This window comes from Homo sapiens, chromosome 1 (genome assembly GCF_000001405.40).
Source record: "Homo sapiens chromosome 1, GRCh38.p14 Primary Assembly".
Taxonomy (NCBI): Eukaryota; Metazoa; Chordata; class Mammalia; order Primates; family Hominidae; genus Homo; species Homo sapiens.
The window spans coordinates 85,448,791-85,470,356 of record NC_000001.11 but is presented as its reverse complement, the minus strand read 5'-3'; the positions used below and the strand labels follow the sequence as shown (position 1 = coordinate 85,470,356).

At 41.9% G+C, this 21,566-nt stretch overlaps 1 protein-coding gene across 5 annotated transcripts in view, besides 2 other annotated features; it reads left to right on the top strand.

Annotated features, from left to right (window-relative positions):
• Window positions 1-21,566, top strand: part of DDAH1 (dimethylarginine dimethylaminohydrolase 1) — a 259,716-nt gene that overhangs the window by 107,844 nt on the left and 130,306 nt on the right. The window contains exon 1 of one of the 5 annotated variants that reach the window (NM_012137.4): window positions 5,198-5,614. The exons of 3 other annotated variants lie outside the window; for them this stretch is intronic. In NM_012137.4, the coding sequence (NP_036269.1) occupies window positions 5,312-5,614 (303 nt within the window). In that variant the 5' untranslated portion in view covers window positions 5,198-5,311. Of the gene's footprint in view, window positions 1-5,197; window positions 5,615-5,757; window positions 5,862-21,566 lie in introns of those variants that run through there. One more of the 5 variants, XM_017000889.2, reaches the window with a different exon arrangement.
• Window positions 4,940-5,349: a silencer, noted in NCBI's record as "silent region_1035". NCBI's record gives its function as "represses an Ori minimal core promoter by ATAC-STARR-seq in GM12878 lymphoblastoid cells {active_cell/tissue: GM12878}" and the evidence as "EXISTENCE:reporter gene assay evidence [ECO:0000049][PMID:35858748]".
• Window positions 5,590-5,789: a silencer, noted in NCBI's record as "silent region_1034". NCBI's record gives its function as "represses an Ori minimal core promoter by ATAC-STARR-seq in GM12878 lymphoblastoid cells {active_cell/tissue: GM12878}" and the evidence as "EXISTENCE:reporter gene assay evidence [ECO:0000049][PMID:35858748]".

Sequence of the window (21,566 nt, the reverse complement as noted above, 5' to 3'; positions counted from 1 at the left end):
TACAAGGTCTGAGGGTTTTATAAGGGGAAACCCCTTTCACTTGATTCTCATTTTCTCTCTTGCCTTGTGGCCATGTAAGACGTGCATTTTTGCCTTCCACCATGATTGTAAGGCCTCCCCAGTCACATGGAACTGTGAGTCCATAAAATCTCTTTTTCTTTATAAATTACCCAGTCTCGGGTATGTCTTTATCAGCAGTGTGAAAACAGACTAATACACACCCCCATCTCAAAACACCTGTCTCCTATGAAAGTAAATCTTGTATCTGCTAAAATGGAGTAAGAAAAGAGTAAGACAGGAATGCCTGTTTTAATCTTCAGATACTTGCTATCTAAAATTGACTTCAAATAAGGCAAGATACCAGCAATATTATCAATGGAAAAGAAAACTTGCCCCTGTGTTAATCAACATCCAACCAGAACAGAAATAGCTTTAGGTATGTCAAACAGAGGGAATTTAAAGGAAATTGCTTATAAAGGTCTTGAAATGTCCAGAAGAGGAAAAGGAACAATTTGACCATAAGCCATAATTATCATTCATAATTACCATTCATAATTACATCCCCATTTCCTAGCACAATACCTGGCATATGGCAAGGGTTCAATAAATATTTATTGAATCTATGATTACACTTGTGGGTGAGATTTGGTCTGTCAACCTAGGAAGGCCACAAATTCTCCTGGAAAGCATACCTTCAAGCAGCTATATGACTCTGGTAATTCAGTGAATGTGTACGTGTGTTTTGGCATTCGGTAGGAAATCATGTGCAAAGCCTTCTGTTCAAAACCTCTCAATGGATAATATTTACTGAGCATCTATTAGGCTCTAGTTACTTTCTATGCACTTTTTAAGCACTTTGCAATATTAACATTTATAATAACTCTATGATAACGTGTTCATTGCTCCGCATTTATAGATGATGATGAAACTGAGGCAAAGAGTTTTTAAGTAACATGTCTAAAATCATAAAACAAGGAAATAGTGGAGCCAAGCTTTCATTACACAGTCTGGCTCTAGAAGCTATGCTCTTAATTTCCACACCATATGCCTCCCCACAGCTGATGTGATGAAGGCTTAGCCCACTTTTCCACCTTTGTTTTCCATTTTCCCCACTGTTCTCTGGAGGCAGACACCAGCTAGCTGTTTCCCCAACCTCATGTTTTCTTTTCTTTCTGGGCCCACAGCAGAATGTATTTTCCAGCCCTTGCTCGTGGTTATTGTAGCTGGGTGGCAGAATTTTAGCCAGAAGAATGGGAGCAGAGGTGATATGCATCCCTTCTGGGCCTGACCCATTAAGCCTTTCACATGTGGTGGCTGTATGTTCTTTCTTGTTCTTTCAGTTTGAGGAAGGTGAGTGATATGGTTTGACTGTGTCCCCACCCAAATCTCATCTTGAACTGTAGCTCCGATAATTCCCATGTATTGTAGGAGGGACCAGGTGGGAGGTAATTGAATCATGGTAACGAGTCTTTCCTGTACTGTTCTCGTGGTAGTGAATAAGTCTCATGAGATCTGATGGTTTAATAAAGGAGAGTTCCCGGCTAGGCGCGGTTGCTCACGCCTGTAATCCCAGCACTTTGGGAGGCCGAGGCGGGTGGATCACAAGGTCAGGAGATCGAGACCTTCCTGGCTAACACAGTGAAACCCTGTCTCTACTAAAAATACAAAAATTAGCTGGGTGTGGTGGCGGGTGCCTGTAGTCCCAGCTACTCAGGAGGCTGAGGCAGGAGAATGGTGTGAACGCGGGAGGCAGAGCTTGCAGTGAGCCGAGATTGCGCCACTGCACTCCAGCCTGGGCAACAGAGCGAGACTCCGTCTCAAAAAAAAAAAAAAAAGGAGAGTTCCCCTACACAAGCTGTCTTGCCTGCCGCCATGTAAGACATCCCTTTGCTCTTCTTTCGTCTTCTGCCATAATTATGAGGCCTCCCCAGCTATGTGGAATCGTAAGTCCATTAAACCTCTTTCCTTTATAAATTACCCAGGCTTGGGTGTGTCTTTATTAACAGCATGAGAACTGACTAATACAGTGAGCATGGAAAACTTGGATGCCACATGTAGAAGAGTTGGAGCCACAAAATAGAAGAAGGCTGGATCCCTGAATATTGCTTGGAAAAAAGAGTTGAGAATCAATCAGGAACATCTGTGCTAGACTTTGAGTGAACAAGAGATAAGCTTCTGTCAATTTTGTGCCATTATATGTGTTGGAGTTGTTTTGTTACAGCAGCTATAGATATGTAAATAGATCTACCTACTGTCCTTTGAAAATGCCTTTCCCTTAGAATTCTCATTCTCTCCTTCAGTTACTCACATCCAAAAATTATTTAAGGCCTAAACCAAGTCCAATCATCTTCAAGCAGCTTTCTTCCACTCCCACCCACCATAGAGATAGATCTCTCTTTCCCTTACCTTCCTGTAGCACTTTGTTATCTATACCTCTCATGTGCACTTACCCCAGCTCCAATTCTGGATGTCTTGTTCTCCTAGTGAGATTGTGAGCTCTTCAAGGTAAGGATCATGTCTTTGTGCTTCCTTCTTTTGTGACTCTGAAGTGCATAACATGGTGATGTGCCTTGGGAATTTTCAATAAATATTCATGGGAAAAATGAACATATCAATGTATTAAGCTCAATAAAGTCCGTTTTCCTAAAAACAGTCCTTCATTGCTGAAGTGTGAAAGCATGTAAACTATAATCTAATGGATTTGGTATTTTTATTATTCTTTTTTACTAATATATACATTCTAACACTTTTTGACCACTGCTTAGAGAAAATAGAAGGCATGCTTATCAAATTTCAGATGGCACGAATTAGAAGTAATAAGTAATGCACGAGATAACAGAATCAAAACTAGACAAATTAGAAATAAGTAAATAACATTTAACAGGGATAACTACAAAATTAGATTTTAAAAGAACAGGTACCCAATTTCAGTATGGAAAGACATGGCTAACATCAGGTTTTAATTGGCTGCTAGACTGACATGAGCCCAGAGTGGTACACAGAACCCTGTTCATAGTTAGACTCAGGGCACTGAGTGGTAGGTGAAATATTCAGGCTCCAACAAGGCACAGGCATGAATGAAGATTGCTAGATGGTGGCCAGCTAGAGACAGATGGAGCCTCAATGTCTGGTAAAGTCTGCAGTAAAGAGCAGAATGAAGTCCTATACTTTATTTAACCCGGGAGCTAAACAAATAAACAATATATAATAAGAATAAATAGGCTGGGTGCAGTGGCTCACGCCTGTAATCCCAGCACGTTGGGAGGCCGAGGCAGGCGGATCACCTCAGTTGAGGAGTTTGAGACTAGCCTGACCAACATGGAGAAACTCCGTCTCTACTAAAAATACAAAATTAGCCAGGCGTGGTGGCACATGCCTATAATCCCAGCTACTCGGGAGGCCGAGGCAGGAGAATCACTTGAACCCCGGTTGCAGAGGTTGCAGTGAGCTGAGATCGCGCCATTGCACTCCAGCCTGGGAAACAAGAGCGAAACTCCATCTCAAAAAAAAAAAAAAAAAAAAAAGAATAAATAATGAACTAATTTAAAAATAAATAAATTTTATATTTAACCAGGGCAAGCTTAAGGTAAAAGATCAACTTTCACCTGTAACTTTGATGGAAATCCTCCATCTGAGGACACCATTAAGTGATTTCTGACGCTAAACTGGGGCTAATGGGGCTGCCTGGATCCCCTAAGAATTTTGCTTTAGAAGTACTACCTAGTCGGTCTTAAAGGTTTGTTATTTTACTTTTGGTCCCACTTCCCAATGTCAGTGTCAGAGCTGTCCTTGAGACTCCTCAAATTTGGGCAGGGCGTGGTAGCTCATGCCTGTAATCCCAGCACTTTGGGAGGTGGAGGCGGGTGGATCACCTGAGGTCAGGAGTTCGAGACCAGCCTAGCCAACATGGTGAAACCCTGTCTCTGCTAAAAATACAAATTAGCCGCGAGTGGTGGCGTGCACCTGTAGTCCCAGCTACTCAGGAGGCTGAGGCAGGAGAATTGCTTGAACTGGGGAGGCAGCAGTTGAAGTAAGCCGAGATCGTGCCACTGCACTCCAGCCTGGGCAACAAGAGTGAAACTCCGTCAAAACAAAACAACAACAAAAAACAAAAAAAACTCCTCAAATGTGAAGCTGAGAATTTTGAAGCTCATTTATAAATTCACACCACCCTTGTGGGAGGGGAGAGAAGGCAGATCACATCTCTGGGCTCAGTTGGGGCAACCATTCTAGGATGCTCAGAGAGACCTGCTCCTAGAAATCCAGAGTTTCCTAAAAGCTGGGATCAGAGTTCTGGCAAGAAGGCTGTAGCCTGGGCCTTGGCCCTAGACCACCAAAAAAGTGAATACAGGCTTAGGCAGTGTTCATAGAGGCCCAGCATCTGGAACAAGGGTGCTGCTGTAGTCTGTGCTGGTCAGACCACACAGGAAGAATTGTTTATTTTCCGGATACTATGATTTTAAAAGGATACAAGCAAATTGGTGTGTATCAAAAGGAAGCTGACCAGAATGTTGAAGGGACTTGGAAACCAAATCACTAGTTACTTTTCAGTGGTTTGGGCTCCAGGACTGGAGGGGGTTTAGGGTGGGGGGTAGAGGATGGTGTTAGGCAGCATAGATAATTAGAACTGTTTTCAGATATGCAAATGCTGTTTTGTGAAAACACACACACACGCGAACACACACAAAACAAGAAAAACTTGTACTTTAGGTAAGGCCAGAAAACAGAACTGGGACCCGTGGGATTTAAGCTCAACATGAAGAATCTGTAAACCATTATAGCTCTTCAAAAGTGGGCTAGACTTTGTAAGCACGCAAGGTTTAAACTGTTCAGGTAAAGACCAGGAAGCCCTCCAGCTGCTCTGTCCAGACCGAGGCCGGCTCTCCAAGTCCGCGCTGGGGACGATGGGAGGTGTGCACCTGCGACAGAACACAGGTACCGCCAGGTCCGGGTAGCGGTGGCTTTTCGCCGAGGTCCCCCGCCTCCGCATACTTCTTGCCCTCGCTGCTTCCCCGGCCGCCTCTCCTGGCCCCACTCCTCGCCCGGCGCTCGCCGCTACAACTCCCGCCTGGGCTGGCGCGAGACCCGCGAGCGCCGGAGTGGGCGCGCGGGATGCGCGCGGGCCGGCGCCCGGAGCTCTGGGCATGCTCAGTCGCGCGGGCAGGGCTCCGGGCGCGAGCTGGGCTCCTTCTGCACCACATTCAGCGGCTGCCAAGAGGAGCCGACGGGCGCTCGCAGGCTCAGCGCGCGCTGCCCGCGGCAGGACCCGGCCGCCTCCGCCGCCGCCGCCGCCCCTAAGCCTCCCGAAGCCATGGCCGGGCTCGGCCACCCCGCCGCCTTCGGCCGGGCCACCCACGCCGTGGTGCGGGCGCTACCCGAGTCGCTCGGCCAGCACGCGCTGAGAAGCGCCAAGGGCGAGGAGGTGGACGTCGCCCGCGCGGAACGGCAGCACCAGCTCTACGTGGGCGTGCTGGGCAGCAAGCTGGGGCTGCAGGTGGTGGAGCTGCCGGCCGACGAGAGCCTTCCGGACTGCGTCTTCGTGGAGGACGTGGCCGTGGTGTGCGAGGAGACGGCCCTCATCACCCGACCCGGGGCGCCGAGCCGGAGGAAGGAGGTAACTGCCGACTCGAGGGGCGCGGCCGGGGCGCGCGCCAGGCCCTCCCCCGCCGCCGGCCGCCGTGTTGCCTGGGGAGTCGCGCCATTGGCCCTCGGGCTAGTAGTTCACAACTTCCCGTCGGGGGGCGAGTGTGTGTGTGTGTGTGTGTGTCAGAGAGTCAGAGAGAAGTTCATTGTTCACACCTCCCGGCTGCCGGCAGCCTTCTGGAGGATCCGATTCAATGTGGTTGTACGGTCTCGGGCAGGTGGGTGGGCGGGGGATTCCGTCTCACGGGCATTTTTATTTGTGAAAATTAAACGGCAGCGACGACAGTGCAACTCTGAGTGTTTCCCAGGGAGCGAGGGCCGCGAGGGGTGCCGCTCCGGTAGGGCGGGTGGAGGCTGGGCGTCCCTCCAGGGGGCAGCGCCAGTCGTGACACCGAAGCCCCCAAGTCCTGCCTGGCGCTCGGAGCAGGACAAGCTGGATGAATTAACGGGGTGTCGGTGCCCACAGACCTGGGGCTTCTCAAGTTAGTTTTCAGTGGTGGCGAGTGAGTCCCAAAGAACGGGACTAGTAAGTGAATGAATGGAAGGAAAAGTGTTTTGTTGGTGAGCTGTGCTAAATGTGTGCATGAATGGGCTAGGTTTGAAAAGCTGTACTCTGTGCGGTGTTGGGTGTGTGTGCTAGCGAGCGTGTTTAATTAGAGATGGTTGTTTCACAAATTCCATAATTTTTATTCTCTATATTTTTAAACTCACAGCAATTAAGAGAGTTTTTCTGTTCTCAAGGGTTGTAACTACTTTGAAATACTGCAGCTTGTGAAATGGCTGATTGCTTTAAGTGCAATGTAGGTTAGTGGGGAGAGACAAATAGAGTGAGATTGGATTTTAAAATGCCATCTGGCCTGGGATTCTTCTCATTGCCAGTTAAGAGCCCAGGCTCAAGACTCCGTTGCTATTGGCATCCAGTGGCATTGCAAGAAGCTAGTGGTTTCTTTCATTTCTGGAGATTTAAGAATTTTTTTTCTATTTTGTCTGTATTCACTTCACATTGGAAATGCCTCATAGAGCTTATGATAAAATATGCTTATTCCTCACCTGCTCCACTACTTGGTTGATGGAATGCCACATGGTCTGAGAAAATAAGCATATTCTACTAATTTCTCATCGAGATAATCAGCTTTTATTTCACCCTCCATTAACAGAAAACCAAAAGAGTAACAGATCTCTGCTAGCCCTTTGATGTCTTTGCCACACCTCTCCATCTTTGAGTCTGTGAGATGTCCCACTCTTTTAAACTGATAAGGAATGTAATCCCATTTGAATACTTTCTAATGCGTTCTAGGCCAAATGGCAGAGCTATGGTTTGAACTTAAAAGAGCAAAATCGATTTCAAAACCCTTTCAAAATGGCACTCTTTTGATGAGAGTAGTCCAATTTCTTCTCAAGAGACTGTCACCATATTTATTCACCCATTTCATTTTATTCCTATAATAAAAGCTTCCAAGCTTTGGCCTCCCTGATACCTAAGTGAGCAGTGATCTTTTTCCCCTGCCTAGATTTTGAAGCATACATTTTAAATTGGTTTAATTCTGATATCAGCCTGGTGGCCCACTGCCAGAAGTCACATGGTGTAGTGGATAAAAACATTAGACTGAATCTCAGCTCTACCACTTTCTAATTCTGTGACCTTTAGGGAGTGTCTCTTGCCTCAGTTTTCGCATCTATACAGTGGACATAATAATACCTGTTTCACAAAGTTGTTGTAATAGATGTATTAATCTACCTGAAATTCACAGGACAGGACATTTGATGAATGTTGACTATTATTATTCACTTAACTATGGATCAGGGAAGATTTACTCCGTTAATAAGAAGTCAGCTATACACTGATGTAGTTAGTGACATCTCTCTACTATGTGATACTGCCTCTGGGTTTGGGTCTCCTGCTGGTGCCTGCCTTTGCATTGCACATGATCTGGGTCACCAGGGTAACAGGCCTCCCAGGCAGGGAGAGGAATATGGGCAGTCAGTGTTGGATGGGATGCTTCTGGAGGGCAGAGTCATGTAGGGCAATGCTTGTAGAAATCTCTCACGGCACCAGCTCACCGCCTTGGTAGGTGTTAATGCTTGTTGAGTGAGTGGATGAATGAATGAATGATGAATGAAATGCTAATACAAGAAGATAGTTACTTCAAGACCCTCTATGGATTGCTGTATATTTTTTTCATGTGATGTCTGCATTCCCAACTGTGAAAATCCACAGTAGCCAAGGAATTATTTTAAAATTATTGTCACTGATCTCTGCCTCTAGTCTTGTCAATTTTCCATTCCATTCCCACACTGTAGCCAAGCTGGTCTTTTAAAAACTCAGATCTGATCCTGTCCCTTCTCTGACTAAAATTCTCAAGGGGCCCCCACTGAGCTTAGATAAACCCATTGAGCTGGGCTGTGCTTGCCTTTCCAGCTTCAGCTTCACCTCTGATCCCACCCCAAGCATCCCCTGATCCATGGATCGAGCGAGGTTCTTTCACTGAAGCTCACCAGACTATTGCTTTTATTTTGTCCGGGTACTCTTCCTCTTTCCTCTCTTCCCTTTTATCTGTCTTAAGTTCTCAGCTTACTGTTATCACTATTATTAGCTAATATTTATTGGGTACTTGCCACTTGCCATACACCATACCAGATTTATGATGTGCATTTCATTAATACTCACATCAACTCTTTGAACTCAATACTATCATAATTCCTATTTTAAAGTTGGTGAAACTGAGGCCTGGAGAGATTAAATAAATTGGCCAGGGTTATAGAGTGTAACCTGTAAAACCAGGATTTGAACTCGGGTTTAGAGAACTCCAAAGCTCTAGTCCCACTTAGACATCACTTTTCCAAGCATGGAATTGGTTCTCCTTTTATGAGCTCCTAAAACGCTATAAACTTCCTTTTATATATATCATACCACGTGATAATTGCCTGTTTACCGTTCTGTATCTCCCACTATTATGTAACCTGTCAGGGCTAGGATCATGTCTGTATTGGTCAACATTTTGTCACCAAGGCCTTGTATACAATAGGCATGTAGCAAATATTTTGTTGAACAAGTGTTCTCATTATTTTAGATTAACCTTAATTCTCCCTCCTTATGACATATTTGGTGTTTCACAAGCATTCCCAATCAGTAAGGTCCCAAAAGTTCTATTATGAACGTAGGTGGTTTATAGCTGTTTCTTCTTCTCCCTTTCCCTGTCCCTGCCTCTTTCTATTGTTATTGTTGTTTTGTTTGTTTTTATAAAAATCTTGAGAAATTCCTTCTTAATCAAAACATCGTGTTTCATTTAATGACTTTTCTTCCTTGGAATTCAAGAAAGTATTCCTGTGAAAGCCCAGTGTTTGCCTGAATGGGGCCTCAAAGATTAATAAAACACAGGCCCTGTGTGCAGGAAGCCTAAGTTTTAGTGAAGGAAACTGTATTTACAGAAAGTCAGTAAATAATGTTAATTGTCTAATAATGTTGTATCTTTAGATTTTGAGTATTTTTTATGTTTAATACTTTAAAGAAAAATAAGCCGTTAGAGGCCTATCAAATTTTACATGACTCCAACTTACTTTTTAGGGAAAAAATGCAACTTCTCTGTTTGTTTGTTTTTAGAGACAGGGTCTCACTCTGTCACCTAGGCTGAAGTGCAGTGGCATGATCATAGCTCACTGCAGCCTTGAACTTCTGGGCTCAACAATCCTCCTGCTTCAGCCTCCCAAAGGGCTGGGATTACAGGCACGAGCCACTGTGCCTGGCCAAAAGTCAATGTTTAAATGTCAAATAATGTAAACAAATAATCTAAAAGATGATGTAGGAGAAATAACAGGGTGTGAGGATTGAATTTTTTAAATTAAAACTTTTGTGTAGATAATTAATGCCTACAGTGCCAAAATCAAAAGGTACAAAAGGATATGCAGTGAAAGTGGGTGTTGCCCTTCTACGCCCACTCTTGCACCTGCCTAACCAGTTCTCCTCCTTAGAGGCAACTACTAATGCCAATTTCTTGAGTTTCTGTCCAAAGGTTCTTAGTACCTAATGAATGATTAACTGACAAAACTTAACTTAAGCAAAATTGCAAAATATATCCTGTTTTGCAAAAGGCCCTTTTGCCCCTTTACTTTTTTTTTAAATTTATTTGTCATGTACCCTGTTGACTAGGATTGCTCCTTTTTAACAGCTATTTTATCCTTTCCCAGGTACCAAGTGTTAGTATGTGGGGTAATTTTGTCTTGGAGAAAACCACACAAATGCATTCTTACAAAGTGATAATAGCTTTAATTATTGTTTCCTTGAGCTTTTGCATTTGTAGGGGCCTCTTCAGGAAGAAGTCAATGCTTAGCACCAGGTAATAAATCCCAAAAGTGGAATTAGGCATCAAATGGGGGAATGGGGACATAAATGGAAGGGATGGGGAATATAATTTGGATAGATGTTCCCCTTTTATTAGGGTACTTAGTAGGACCTATATATTTTGGTTCTGGGTTTATTCTCTGGTTAGGAAAAAGCCTAAATATGTTCATCCTGGAGGCAAGTGAACATCAAGATAATGTCTAATAGCTATAGCTAACAAATGCCAAGTTTTTGAATGTGTGTGAATCCTAAAAGGTGGTATTATTAACCCTATTCAAAAGATAAGGAAACTGAGGCTCAGGTAACTGAGGTTAAGTGACTTGTCCAAAGTCATACACAGTAATAAGTTGCAGAAATGAGGTTTTTATGAAAATCTGAAGGTCATTTTTTGCATGAAGTGCTTGTTGCCAGTTGCGGTTAATCCTAACATAACATTAAATCTATGTAGAATAACTACTTAAATCCCATTTTACACATTAGTGATATGCAATCTAACTCGAACACTAAGTGAATTATTTTACTTCCCTTCTCTCGTAAATGAGAATATGTTGTTTTCACTTTAGTTTAAAAATAACAATTCAGTCATTTATATAACCCCCTAAATGGCCTAGGCACAGTTTGTGCGTAATTGTATCTTATTTACCAGCATAGTGGATGATTGCATTTTTAAATGCATAAATTTCCTCAAACTTCTGTTTAGTTTCAAGTGAGAAAGCTGCCCCAAACCATAATTAGAAATTATTCTGACACCAAGATGGAAAGTGAATGTGCTGGAGGCTCTTCACATGGCAGCAGATTAACAGTTCTTGATAAATCATCACCGCCAACTAGTTAGAACAACTGCTCCTTTTCAGGATTTTTTTTTTATTGTTTTGACTCTTCTACATGGCCTTGGCAGTAACGTTTGGAAATTGATGTGTCCCAGAGACTGGGATGCATCCAATAATGTAGTCTCTTCCTGTGCAGCTGATCTTGAAAGCCTTGAAAATAAGGAACAAAATGACTAGGGAGTGACTTCTATTAGATACTATTAGCTGAAAATGAGCTTTCTGCAGAGATTCTTAGACTCATTAGAGAACCATTATAAGACTAAGAAGGCAGGGCTAGATCCCTTGTAATTCAGATATGCTGGAAAATTGCCTTTGCATGTATTTGAATTCTTATTAAGCTCAGATTTCTTCAAAATTAGTTTTTATTATAATAATGGTAGGTATCCATCCATTAATATAAACCACAAAAACAGAAAAATCTACTTACAACTTTTCAACAAACAGATTTACCTTCCACTGCCTTTGTGTCATAAGTAAATTGTTTGTGGCATCTTATGATTCTCAATATAAATTTGGAGGTGCATGTTTTAAAAATGAGTGCTAGTTATTAATTTTATGGGCTTTTGCTACTAAAATCTGTAACCATTTCAGAAAGCCTCATTTTTTGACTGGAGATCTGGATATGTGTAGTGTTCCTTCCTGCTTATCAAGGGAGTACCATAATTAAAGAGAAAATGACTAAAACCTTAATAAGAGAGAAAAAAGTTTCATTTATATCTTATACAGAACATAGTGCAGTATTTATTTCAGGTTGTCCATAAATATTTACTTACATAACTGAATCCTCTGAACTTCCATCAAAATATTCCCCTGACCTTTGAAGTTAGCTTCCATCACTTCCCCTAAACTGATATTAGATATTAAATCTGTCAGACATCTCAGGCTCATTTCATAAGCAGGGGCTTTTCATCTGAATGGACAAGCAGGCATAATCTCAAGCAACAAATCCCATTTTAAAATGTGTGTGTGGTGTCTGTAGTCCCAGCTACTCAGGAGGCTGAGGCAGGAGAATCACTTGAACCCAGGAGGTGGAGGTTGCAGTGAGATGAGATAGCACCACTGCACTCCAGCCTAGCAACAGAGCAAGACTCTGTCTAAAAAAAAAAAAAAAAAAAAAAAAGTGTGTGTGTAATGTCATCCTAGTTCACTTTGTCATTATCAAGTAATTTAATAATGTACATCATTTTCCTGAAGCTGATGCTGCTGAAGGAGCAGTAGCATCACATAGAAAGGAATAAATCACCAGACTTTAGACTTTTGTTGCTAAATGTTTAGATTATCCAAGCAACTATGACAAGAGGAATCAGCATGAAAAAGTACAAAGAAAAGTACAAACTAATACAGGGTTGGTTTAATTTTGTCCAACAAATCAGTGTGGACAAGAACCCGACTTAGTTTAGGTTAGCAAATTAAAAGGACTATATCATTTAAGCTGCTTTTGCAGCTGGATGGGCTTATAGGGGTAAGTTATCATTCCAGTGAAGATACATACATCAGCATTTTCCTCTGTTTGAATATGTGTAAGTAAACCTTTGCCTTTATTAAAAGACGTTTTGGGCTGGGTGTGGTGGCTCACGCCTGTAATCCCAGCACTTTGGGAGGCCAAGGTGGGCGGATCATGAGGTCAGGAGTTCAAAACCAGCCTGGCCAACATGGTGAAACCCCCATCTCTACTAAAAATACAAAAATTAGCTGGGCGTGCTGGCAGGCGCCTGTAGTCCCAGCTACTCGGGAGGCTGAGGCAGGACACTCACTCGAAACGAGAAGGCAGAGGTTGCAGTGAGCCAAGATCACGCCACAGCACTCCGGCCTGGGCAACAAGAGCGAAACTCCGTCTTCATCCTTTTGCCTTGATTCTGTCGTCATTATTTTGCTTAAGAAATATTAAAGTTTTCCAGTTTTTGTGTGGCATTAATTATGAGTGCCATGATTGCGTGAAAAATGACTGCTTTTGATAGTAAAGGGATAATAGTTGTGTTACTCATATCTGTTAGTACATTCAATAACTGTCTATTATGTCCAGGCTGAATGTTTGGTGCTGGGGAGATACAGATGAATTAGACACTTCCACTGCCCCTGAGGATGTCACAGTCCAGAGAGGGAGGCAGATCAGTGACAGACACTTGCAGAACACGGGGGCAGATTTTATGACAGACCTCAGCCCAGTGCCATGGAAGCTCAAGAAGATGTGTCTCACCCACACCAAGGCTTCCCAGAAGGAGCGATTATTGAGTGAGAATTAACCAGGGGAAGGCAGAGAAGAGCAACCTTCCAGATACAGAGAACAGGATGAGATAAGATGGGGGTAATAGTCCAGTGAAGATTAATTTTATTAATGTTGAGAAGATGTAGAATTGAGAAAAACTCACCCGTGCCCTCTCAGATCTTTTGAAATTTCAGATCCAATTCCAAGTTCACCAAAAGAAACAGGTACAGAACTGTATTACTTTGTTTTGGGTCTAGAGGGATTTGGCCACTTTGCACACTTCATTTCTAAGTGTACTTCCCTCTTACTCTTATCCACATGCTCCATAATGGTCTGGAACCCCTTCTAGGATTCCTGACTGGCACAGTTTGGGAACAATGTAGCCCACTCTGGAGTTGACTAAAGTCTACTTTAAGTCTGAAACTTAAACATTTCCTGAGTTTGCCATTTAGATTCTGGTAAGGCACTTTTTTGGTGGTGGAGGGTGGGGGGGTCCTGTAAGTTATCAGTATATTCTTTGCTGGGGGTTTTCCCCCTTGACCCATAATTTGTTACATGAGGGTGTATCAGGAAAACCTGTCATCTTGTAGTATGTAGTTATATACAGATGCTCCTCAACTTATAATGGAATTACATCCGGATAAACGTATCTTAAGTTGGCAATATCATAAATTGAAAATACACTTAATACTTGTAACCTACCGCACGTTGTAGCTCACGCTACACTACCTTAAACATGCTCAGAACATTTACATTAGCCTATAGTTAGACAAAATCATCTAACACAAAGCCTACTTTAAAATAAAGTATTGAATATCTCATGTAATTTATTGAATACTGTACTGAAAGTGAAAAACAGAATGGTTGTATGAGTACTCAAAGTATGGTTTCTACTGAATTCATATCACTTTTGCACCATTGTAAAGTCAAAAAATTGAAAGTTGAACCATCATAAATTAGGGACCATCTGTACATTACCCATGTCAATGACAAATAAGACAAAACTAATTTCTATTTGCTGTTGAAATTATTTTTATTCACAAATCTCTCCATCTTGACATTAGTCACCATTGAATCTCAAGTGCAGCGTAAACTGAGAATGCATCTATAATTATGGGTTGAATTTTGCATGAGCTACAGGAGGCAGCCAGGTGGGGATACCCACTGTCCTGGGGGCAGGAGACACTGGTTTTGATTTTTGCAGTGATATTAAGATCAAATAGCTGAGGGATTTTTTTTTTTTCTTTTTGGAACCCGGGTTGTAGGGGAGAGAAAGTGTAGGGTGGGAAAGAGATAAGAAGATGGGAGAAAGTGGATGGGGAGCTGATGATAACTTACATTTGTGAAATGGAATTGGAGTTTGATAAATAAAAAATACTGATTTTATTCAACCAAAGACATTATACTTTTTCTGCTTAATTAACTAATCATATGAACTCATGCCTTGTTAATGATAATCCATTATGAGATGCAGTTGAATTTGCTAAATCTATTTCAAAAGCTCTGCTTACTCAACCATTTATAGCACATTTGACAAGTAATTTTTTCTATAGAAGACTTTAAATAAAAACCATTGAAATAGTGTAAGATCCTAGACCCACATACTGTCTGCCATCACACATCACTTTCCTCAGTGTCTGTCAGTTGATGTTTTTGTGTGGTGAATGTGAACCAGTGGCCTGAAGAAATGGAGAGTAAATGGTGATGAGGTATTGCTGTAAGTTGTGTTTTCTGTTATAACTAAGTCTTGACTTACCCATGGTAATTCTTTCTTACAAACCTTCCATATATGTGTGCTGGTTTCTATTCCTGATGCTGAACTGTTAGTTTTCTAATATTTAACTTTTGGCTTCCAAAACTACATGAAGTTATTTTTCTAAAGAAAGACAAAAAAAAAGAAAAAGATACCTACTTAAAAGTAGCCTTCCTATAATTAGCTGTGTACACATGTTAGCCAAATAAGGTATAGATGTAGTCATTTTTAGCCTGAAATGATTGAAAAAGGTGAAATTAATGAATTAATCTTGGTGCAGTTTCAAAATAGTAATGGAAGAAAAACATAGCCATTTTATTCTTTTAATTATTTTTTTCAGTCATAAGGGAACCATCATTTCAGGAAGAAAGATTATTATTACTACAGTTTGGCTTTAGGTCATATTTTAGGCCATTTATGATGTAATCATATTTTCCAGCTCAAGAGTTTTGTGTGAAGAGATTTAGATCTAGTACTTTATTTTGAAATACCCAAACCATTTTTTAAATCTTGTTTTTGGAATTTTCTAACTTTCTGCATGCCATCCTAGTTCTCTGTCAGGGACCCTGGTTTTCCAGCTCCCTTTTCTCTGAAAAATACACAGTTGGGATGTTGAAGGGCCCTAGTCGAAAGGTTATTGATTTCTTCACTTTCGTCTTTTGTTACTCTCAAACTAAACATCATTAAGGCTTCGGCCTCCCTAATCTCTGAGTCTTCCCAAGTCACCCCAAATGTAGAAACAGTCCAATTATGACTAGAGCACAGCTTCAAGACAAGGTTTTTGTACCATTTTTTCCCCAATTGCTGCTCTCTACCCACTAGTGGGTCATGAAATCAATTTAGTGGGTCATGACCAGATCTTTCATTTTTATTGTAATAGAATCAGTAGAAAATGTCAGAGTGTACTGCAACATAGCGTCATAAGGGTAAGTATTGTTTCATAAAACTTGTTTCATTTTTACACACTATGTTTGTGTATACTGATTAGGTAAATAAATTTCTTACACTAGGTCATGGTAAAAAATAAATGTGAAAAATCGACCGCATCCCCTTTCAACTGGATTGCACCATTCAGCCTCTTTATAGAAATTCTGCAGGGCCATTCCTGTTGGCCAGTTGGGTCCTGGGAATCATGGCCAAAATCTCAGCATTACTTTCTATCCAGTCATGTTTTATTTCCTCTCACTTGTGTTGACTCCTTACGGTGATGGTTTCCTGACTGTTTGGACCCCTGTCCATTCAGCAAACTAGTGATGAGTCCATAGTTCTATGTGGCCTGGTAGGTGTGATCGGGGAACATGAAGAGGGGGAAGATTGTCAGCTTCACCATTTGCTAGAAGCTGATTCTACCTTTCCTTCTTTGGTGACAAATTTTAACCTGGTTAAGGGAAGGTTATGTTAAGACAGGAAAGCATAGTTTTCCTTCTGAACTTGCATCTTTTGCATTTTTCAGAGGCGGGGAGGGGAAAATTTGGTGGCAGCAGCATTCCCTGAATCCCTTGCCAGGGGTTGTACCCAGTAGGAAGCAGTAGCATCCAGGTGGGGGCTGAGACCTACACAGACACTGGGAGGCATCAGGATCCAACATCAGGATTTGACCACAGACACTCTTGGGGTAGGGACCGAAACTCAGCACACTTACTTTAACCCCAGCATGTGTTCAAATACAGAATGTGCTAAAATGTGATTATAATGTTCATGTCATTCTCAGATCACTGGCTAAAGGCCTAAAAGAGATCTTGGAAATAACTAGTTTCACTCTCTTTCCTTCACACTTATGCAACACTAGATAAGTGGAAATCCTGCCTTATGTAAGAATCCAAAGAAAATTTAGTTTTCTCTGCCAAGTAATCCATTTCAGCAATATTTGTTGGTAATGGTGCCTATTAAGTATGAGACATCTGGACTGGCATATAAATTGGGGTTCATTCTGACAAAGTATATATGGATGTTTAGTAATGGGTCAATCTGGGATTGCAGGGAAATGAAGCACCCAGTTTTCAGTGGTGATCCCTTTCTCCTAGCTGAGCAGCCTAGTACTAAGAGTGGAATGTATTCCCTTATATATGCTCTTCTATGCCCCAAAAATGAGTGCCTTGAAGATTCTGATGAGAGACATTAATGATAGAGGCAAACAGTGTGTGGCTGTGACTGGAAAAATTGTGTGTTTGTAGGAAAAGGGCTTGGAATTGTGAGACTTGGAGCTGTAATTACATGAGAAAAAATGGGGAGTGCAGTTGTCATGTCCATGTCTGCATTTTTCTTTGTGAGCACTGAGCTGGATAACTGAAGCCTCTGAGTGGTTTGCAGAAAAGCAGGATTAATACTGCTTCTAAACTGTCCAGTCCTCAGAAGGAAGTTTCTTGGTGAGTGGATGGGATAATATGGATTTAAGTTAGAACATTTTCTTGAAAGTAAATGCCAAAAAACACACAAGATATAGCTTGTTGGCCTCAATACAGCTGAGGGCTCAATTATGATTTAGAACACGCTCCCTGAAACACTCGCCTGCCCTGAGGTCAACCTAATGACTGGAAATTCTGCAAATGTAACAGCTACTATCACTTGGTCTGTTTTTATAACATACACACACACACATACACAGGTTTGGATAAAATCAGTTTTCTAACAGTGCTCTGCTTGTGAATGCTTGGTGGTATTGTGGATTATCAAAAATGTTTACAGGGATTCTTGAGTTACATTATTTCAGTGATCGTTTAGCCAGGAGAAAGTTTTTGTTGTTGTTGGTTTGCTTTAATGAATTGTGCCTTTTTTACTGGGCTCTTTCAGCCTGTGATCACCTCCATGCAGGTCGTCTTGATTTCATCATTGGGATGGGCTTTTATGGTGCTATCTGTGGAGGAGAAAGCATATATGCAGTTCCTAGAACTTCCCTACCCTTCTTTACCTTCCTTTTTTAGGGGAGCTCCTATAACACTATGAGTTTGTTCTTTTACTCTAGGTCTAGATGGTGATTTTCAAATTTTAAGTTCAACTCGTAAGTGGATCGTAAAATTACTCTAGTAGGTCACTCCAGTTTTTTTTTTGTTTGTTTGTAAAGGAACTGAAATAGAATAGAAAATATCAGAGTGTATTCGCAACCCATAATATAGCTAGGTAATGTTTCATGTAACCTTTGTTTCATTTATACACATGCACGCATCTACGTGTTCCCTCTTATGCTATAGGTTGCAACATAAAGTGTACTTCTTAGTGTAGGTCATTGTCAAGAGGCTTTATTTATTTATTTATTTATGTCGTTGTTGTTGTCAACAGGTTTTAAATCTACTTATCTAGGAGACCAAAAAATACCTTAAATAAATGCTGTCATTTTAGCTTTTGTTGCCATTCTTTGTTGTTTGCAGCAACAGAATTTTGGCATGTGTCAAAGGCACTTGACTTCCATTGAGCAAATGGGCTGTTTGATCTCAGGGCACTGGGTTTTTCATTGCCTATTAGGAAGGTAAAGCCATTCATCCAAAGGCAGCAAAATGCAGGGGATGGCGAGGAAGAGAAGGAAAACAAACAGTGTAGGTGGAAAGTCTCAGGCTCTTCCCAGTAAACAGGCATTTTCAAATATCAAAGACTCCCCTGCATTAATGCTACAGAGTATTTCTGTACACTTTGAAGTGATACACTCATTTGTAAACCAAATTATAATGTTGTGATATTATAGCCCAGGATGGCAGGTGTTCAGAAAGCATACCACTTATTAAAATGGCCATATGAAAGCCTAGTACATTTTCTGTTCTATTGATTCCAGTCTCATTTCTACTGCTTCTACTTTCCTCTGCTCCTCACTGAACTGCCCACCTGCTCCCAGACCCACAATCACTCGAGATATCAAATCAGCACAAGATTCAGTCTTCATCACCCCTCTAGCATGCATACCTCTCACTCAACCCAGGTATCTAGAGACACATGCTTCTAAGCTGACTCAGGAGGCAGACTTGCTTGACTCCTGGGGCACTTTTGAGAGGGGGCGTTCTCTTCCTTTCCATGTGCCCTGAGGACTGGCAGGGGACAGCTATAAATTCAAATTGTGGTTCCAGTGCTTATTAGCTGTGTGGCCTTGAGCAAGTACAGCATCACTTTCATCATCTGTAGTGTTGAGGTGGTTTTGACTACCCTATAGCATTGTTATGGTGAATAAATGCAATAATACAGGTAAGGTACTGAGCAGTACCATGCACAGAGTAGCTCTTCCATCAGTGATCAGTCCCTCTTCTTTCTGCCTTTATATGCTTTTTGTCTTTCTAAAGGGCTGCTATTCAAGCCCCTAAGGATTGAGGCTGTGCCCTTCTCCTGCTATCTTCTCTTCCTGGAAACTGGAGACCTCCATCCATTGGGCTGTGGCCAGACCACCTGTGGCCTGCCCAGACTGAGATTCTGTCCAGCAGTTGGCATTCATTGCTCTTGTATTTTGGACCCCTATGCTGACTCCACCTGAAACATGCCAGGAGGATGGTAAGACCATTAGAGATATGCACTTGATCCTCAGCTGGCAGCCGGGCCAGTCACCCAGCGCCTGTGCCACTCTACAGGCAGGTCTCTTGTGGGCACTGGCCTCTCTCCAGCTCATGGTTTTAGGAGTAGGTCATCAGACTCAACTGAGTCAAAAGGTACTACCCTTTTTATAATTTCTCTTCATCCTCTGATCTTCTAAGTGAATGAATACTTAGAGATATTTCTGCCATTAAGCTTATCATCTGATCTTGAACTAGTCATATATTAGCATTTGAATTCACATTTTAAGTATCTTTACACATTCGATATATTTTCCATTTTAAGTACTTAAAAAATTCCTCTTACATTGCAGGTGAAATTCCACCTGGAATTGAGTCTCAGTTCCACTTCTCAGTTACATCATCTCAGGCAACTCAAAAGTTTCAGTTTCCTGTAAAATACCTTTATGCCTTCTTCCCAAGGATGCATGAAGATCAAAGTTTTTTGAATGCTGTGATGCTTTATACAACAGTGATTACAGTGGCAATGTTATGATGAGTGAAGGATTGTACGTATGGTAATAGTAACATTATTATTTATGGACTGGCGATAACTAGCCTATTCTTGATGATATATCGGATTGACTAGATTTGACCAATATCCTTTGCACAATAACTGTGACACCAAGCTGTGACAACCTTAGAGAGAGGTCCTGATAGAAAGAGACTACTCTTAGAAAGCTTCGGTCACCTGTAAAGACCCAGACCTACCACTTATTAGCAAGGTGAACTTGGCCAAAAAAACTTTTGATACAGGTTTGTCACCTGTAAGAAAGGGTGACACTACTTTTATTTATTCAACAGGCAATTGTTGTTTAGTGCCTACTACATGCAAAACATAAAGTAAACAAATATGATGCCTGCCCTCATGGAGCCTGTAGTTTAATTGGAGAGATAAGCATGAAATAAATAATCGCAAATATATGTGTAATTAAAAATACCAGTAAGTGTCCTAAAGAAAAAACGCAACTTGTCTCATAAAGTTGTAAAATGTCAATAAGAGACCTTACTTGCAAAAGACCTGAGTATCAGCTTTTAGATGAGACCGGTGTTACCTGTGTTGCAGAGGAATTAGTGGATTACCCATGCTGTTGCTCCTGTTTGTATACCTCTGATTTTATTCTTAGGAATATTCCCTCTCTCTGCTGGAAGGGACAAGAATCCTGCCCCTGTACTCCAGCACCATGGGCACCTGCTTCTGGCCAGCTCTGACTTCTTGACCCTGTAGTCTACCTCTCTCTCCAGTACAAACACACCTCTTCTCCACCTCCCAACTTCATCTGCCACCTGTTCCTGCTGCCATGCTTTCCAGAGATCCAGCCCCACCTGCTTGGACTTTCACCCACCACACATGCATCTCCGTTGTGCTTCATGTAGTTTTCAGGTTCAGAGACCCCTTCCAGTGTTATACACCTTCTCCCAGCTAATCCTTCACCCGCAATAAACAACAGCAGTATCGTTTATCCTGTATTTACTGGGTGCCAGCACTTTAAATCCATCATTCTCTCTAGCTGTCTTGGCCCCCTTCCAAGCCCTGGAAGCCATCTGGCTATTAGAAGAAATAAAGTGTCCCTTGTTCAATAGGTCTGTTGGTCAGCCTCATCATTCTGCTGATGGCCCTACCCCACCATGACTCTTATTCATTTCATATGCTCAGGTAGTGCCTTGGTTCCATTAACTGGGTTTACATCTTGACCCCTTTTGTTGGTTTCCTACCTAGATTCCCTGCAAAAGACCCCAAGGCTGACCTCTAGTCCTCATATGAGAGAATCTCTCAAACATACTGCTATGTCCTCTTGGTGCCATGTTCTGCCAACCTTCTCATATGTCTGCATTGGGCCAGACACCAACCTGCCTTATGCTGGCCTGTGCCCTCAGCCTAGCCCCTTCTGTGGGGGCCCCTGATGCCAGCTGCCATTCTGAGTCTTCTTTGTTTTGCCCAGAGTCGGAACCATCCCTGGTCACTGGCCTTGTGCTATTGGGCCATTTTACTGACGGGACTCAGAACCAATGTGTGCTTTTATATTTTAAAGTATTTACTAGATTTAGCCTCTTAGGAAGTTTGAGGTACGATAACTTGACTGAGGCACACCCTTAACTTTGTCTCTTTCCCCTTCTCCTGTAGTAACTAGCTATATAGCTTATCAATTAAATGCTACTTTTCTGTCTCAGTTTAACAAACTTGTTCTTGGAATGCTCACTAAACTGAATCTAGTCCAATTTTGTAAAATTTGTAAAATTCTTTGCTGGCAGAAAAGAAATTTCACTGTGTTTAATTAAACAGATTAAA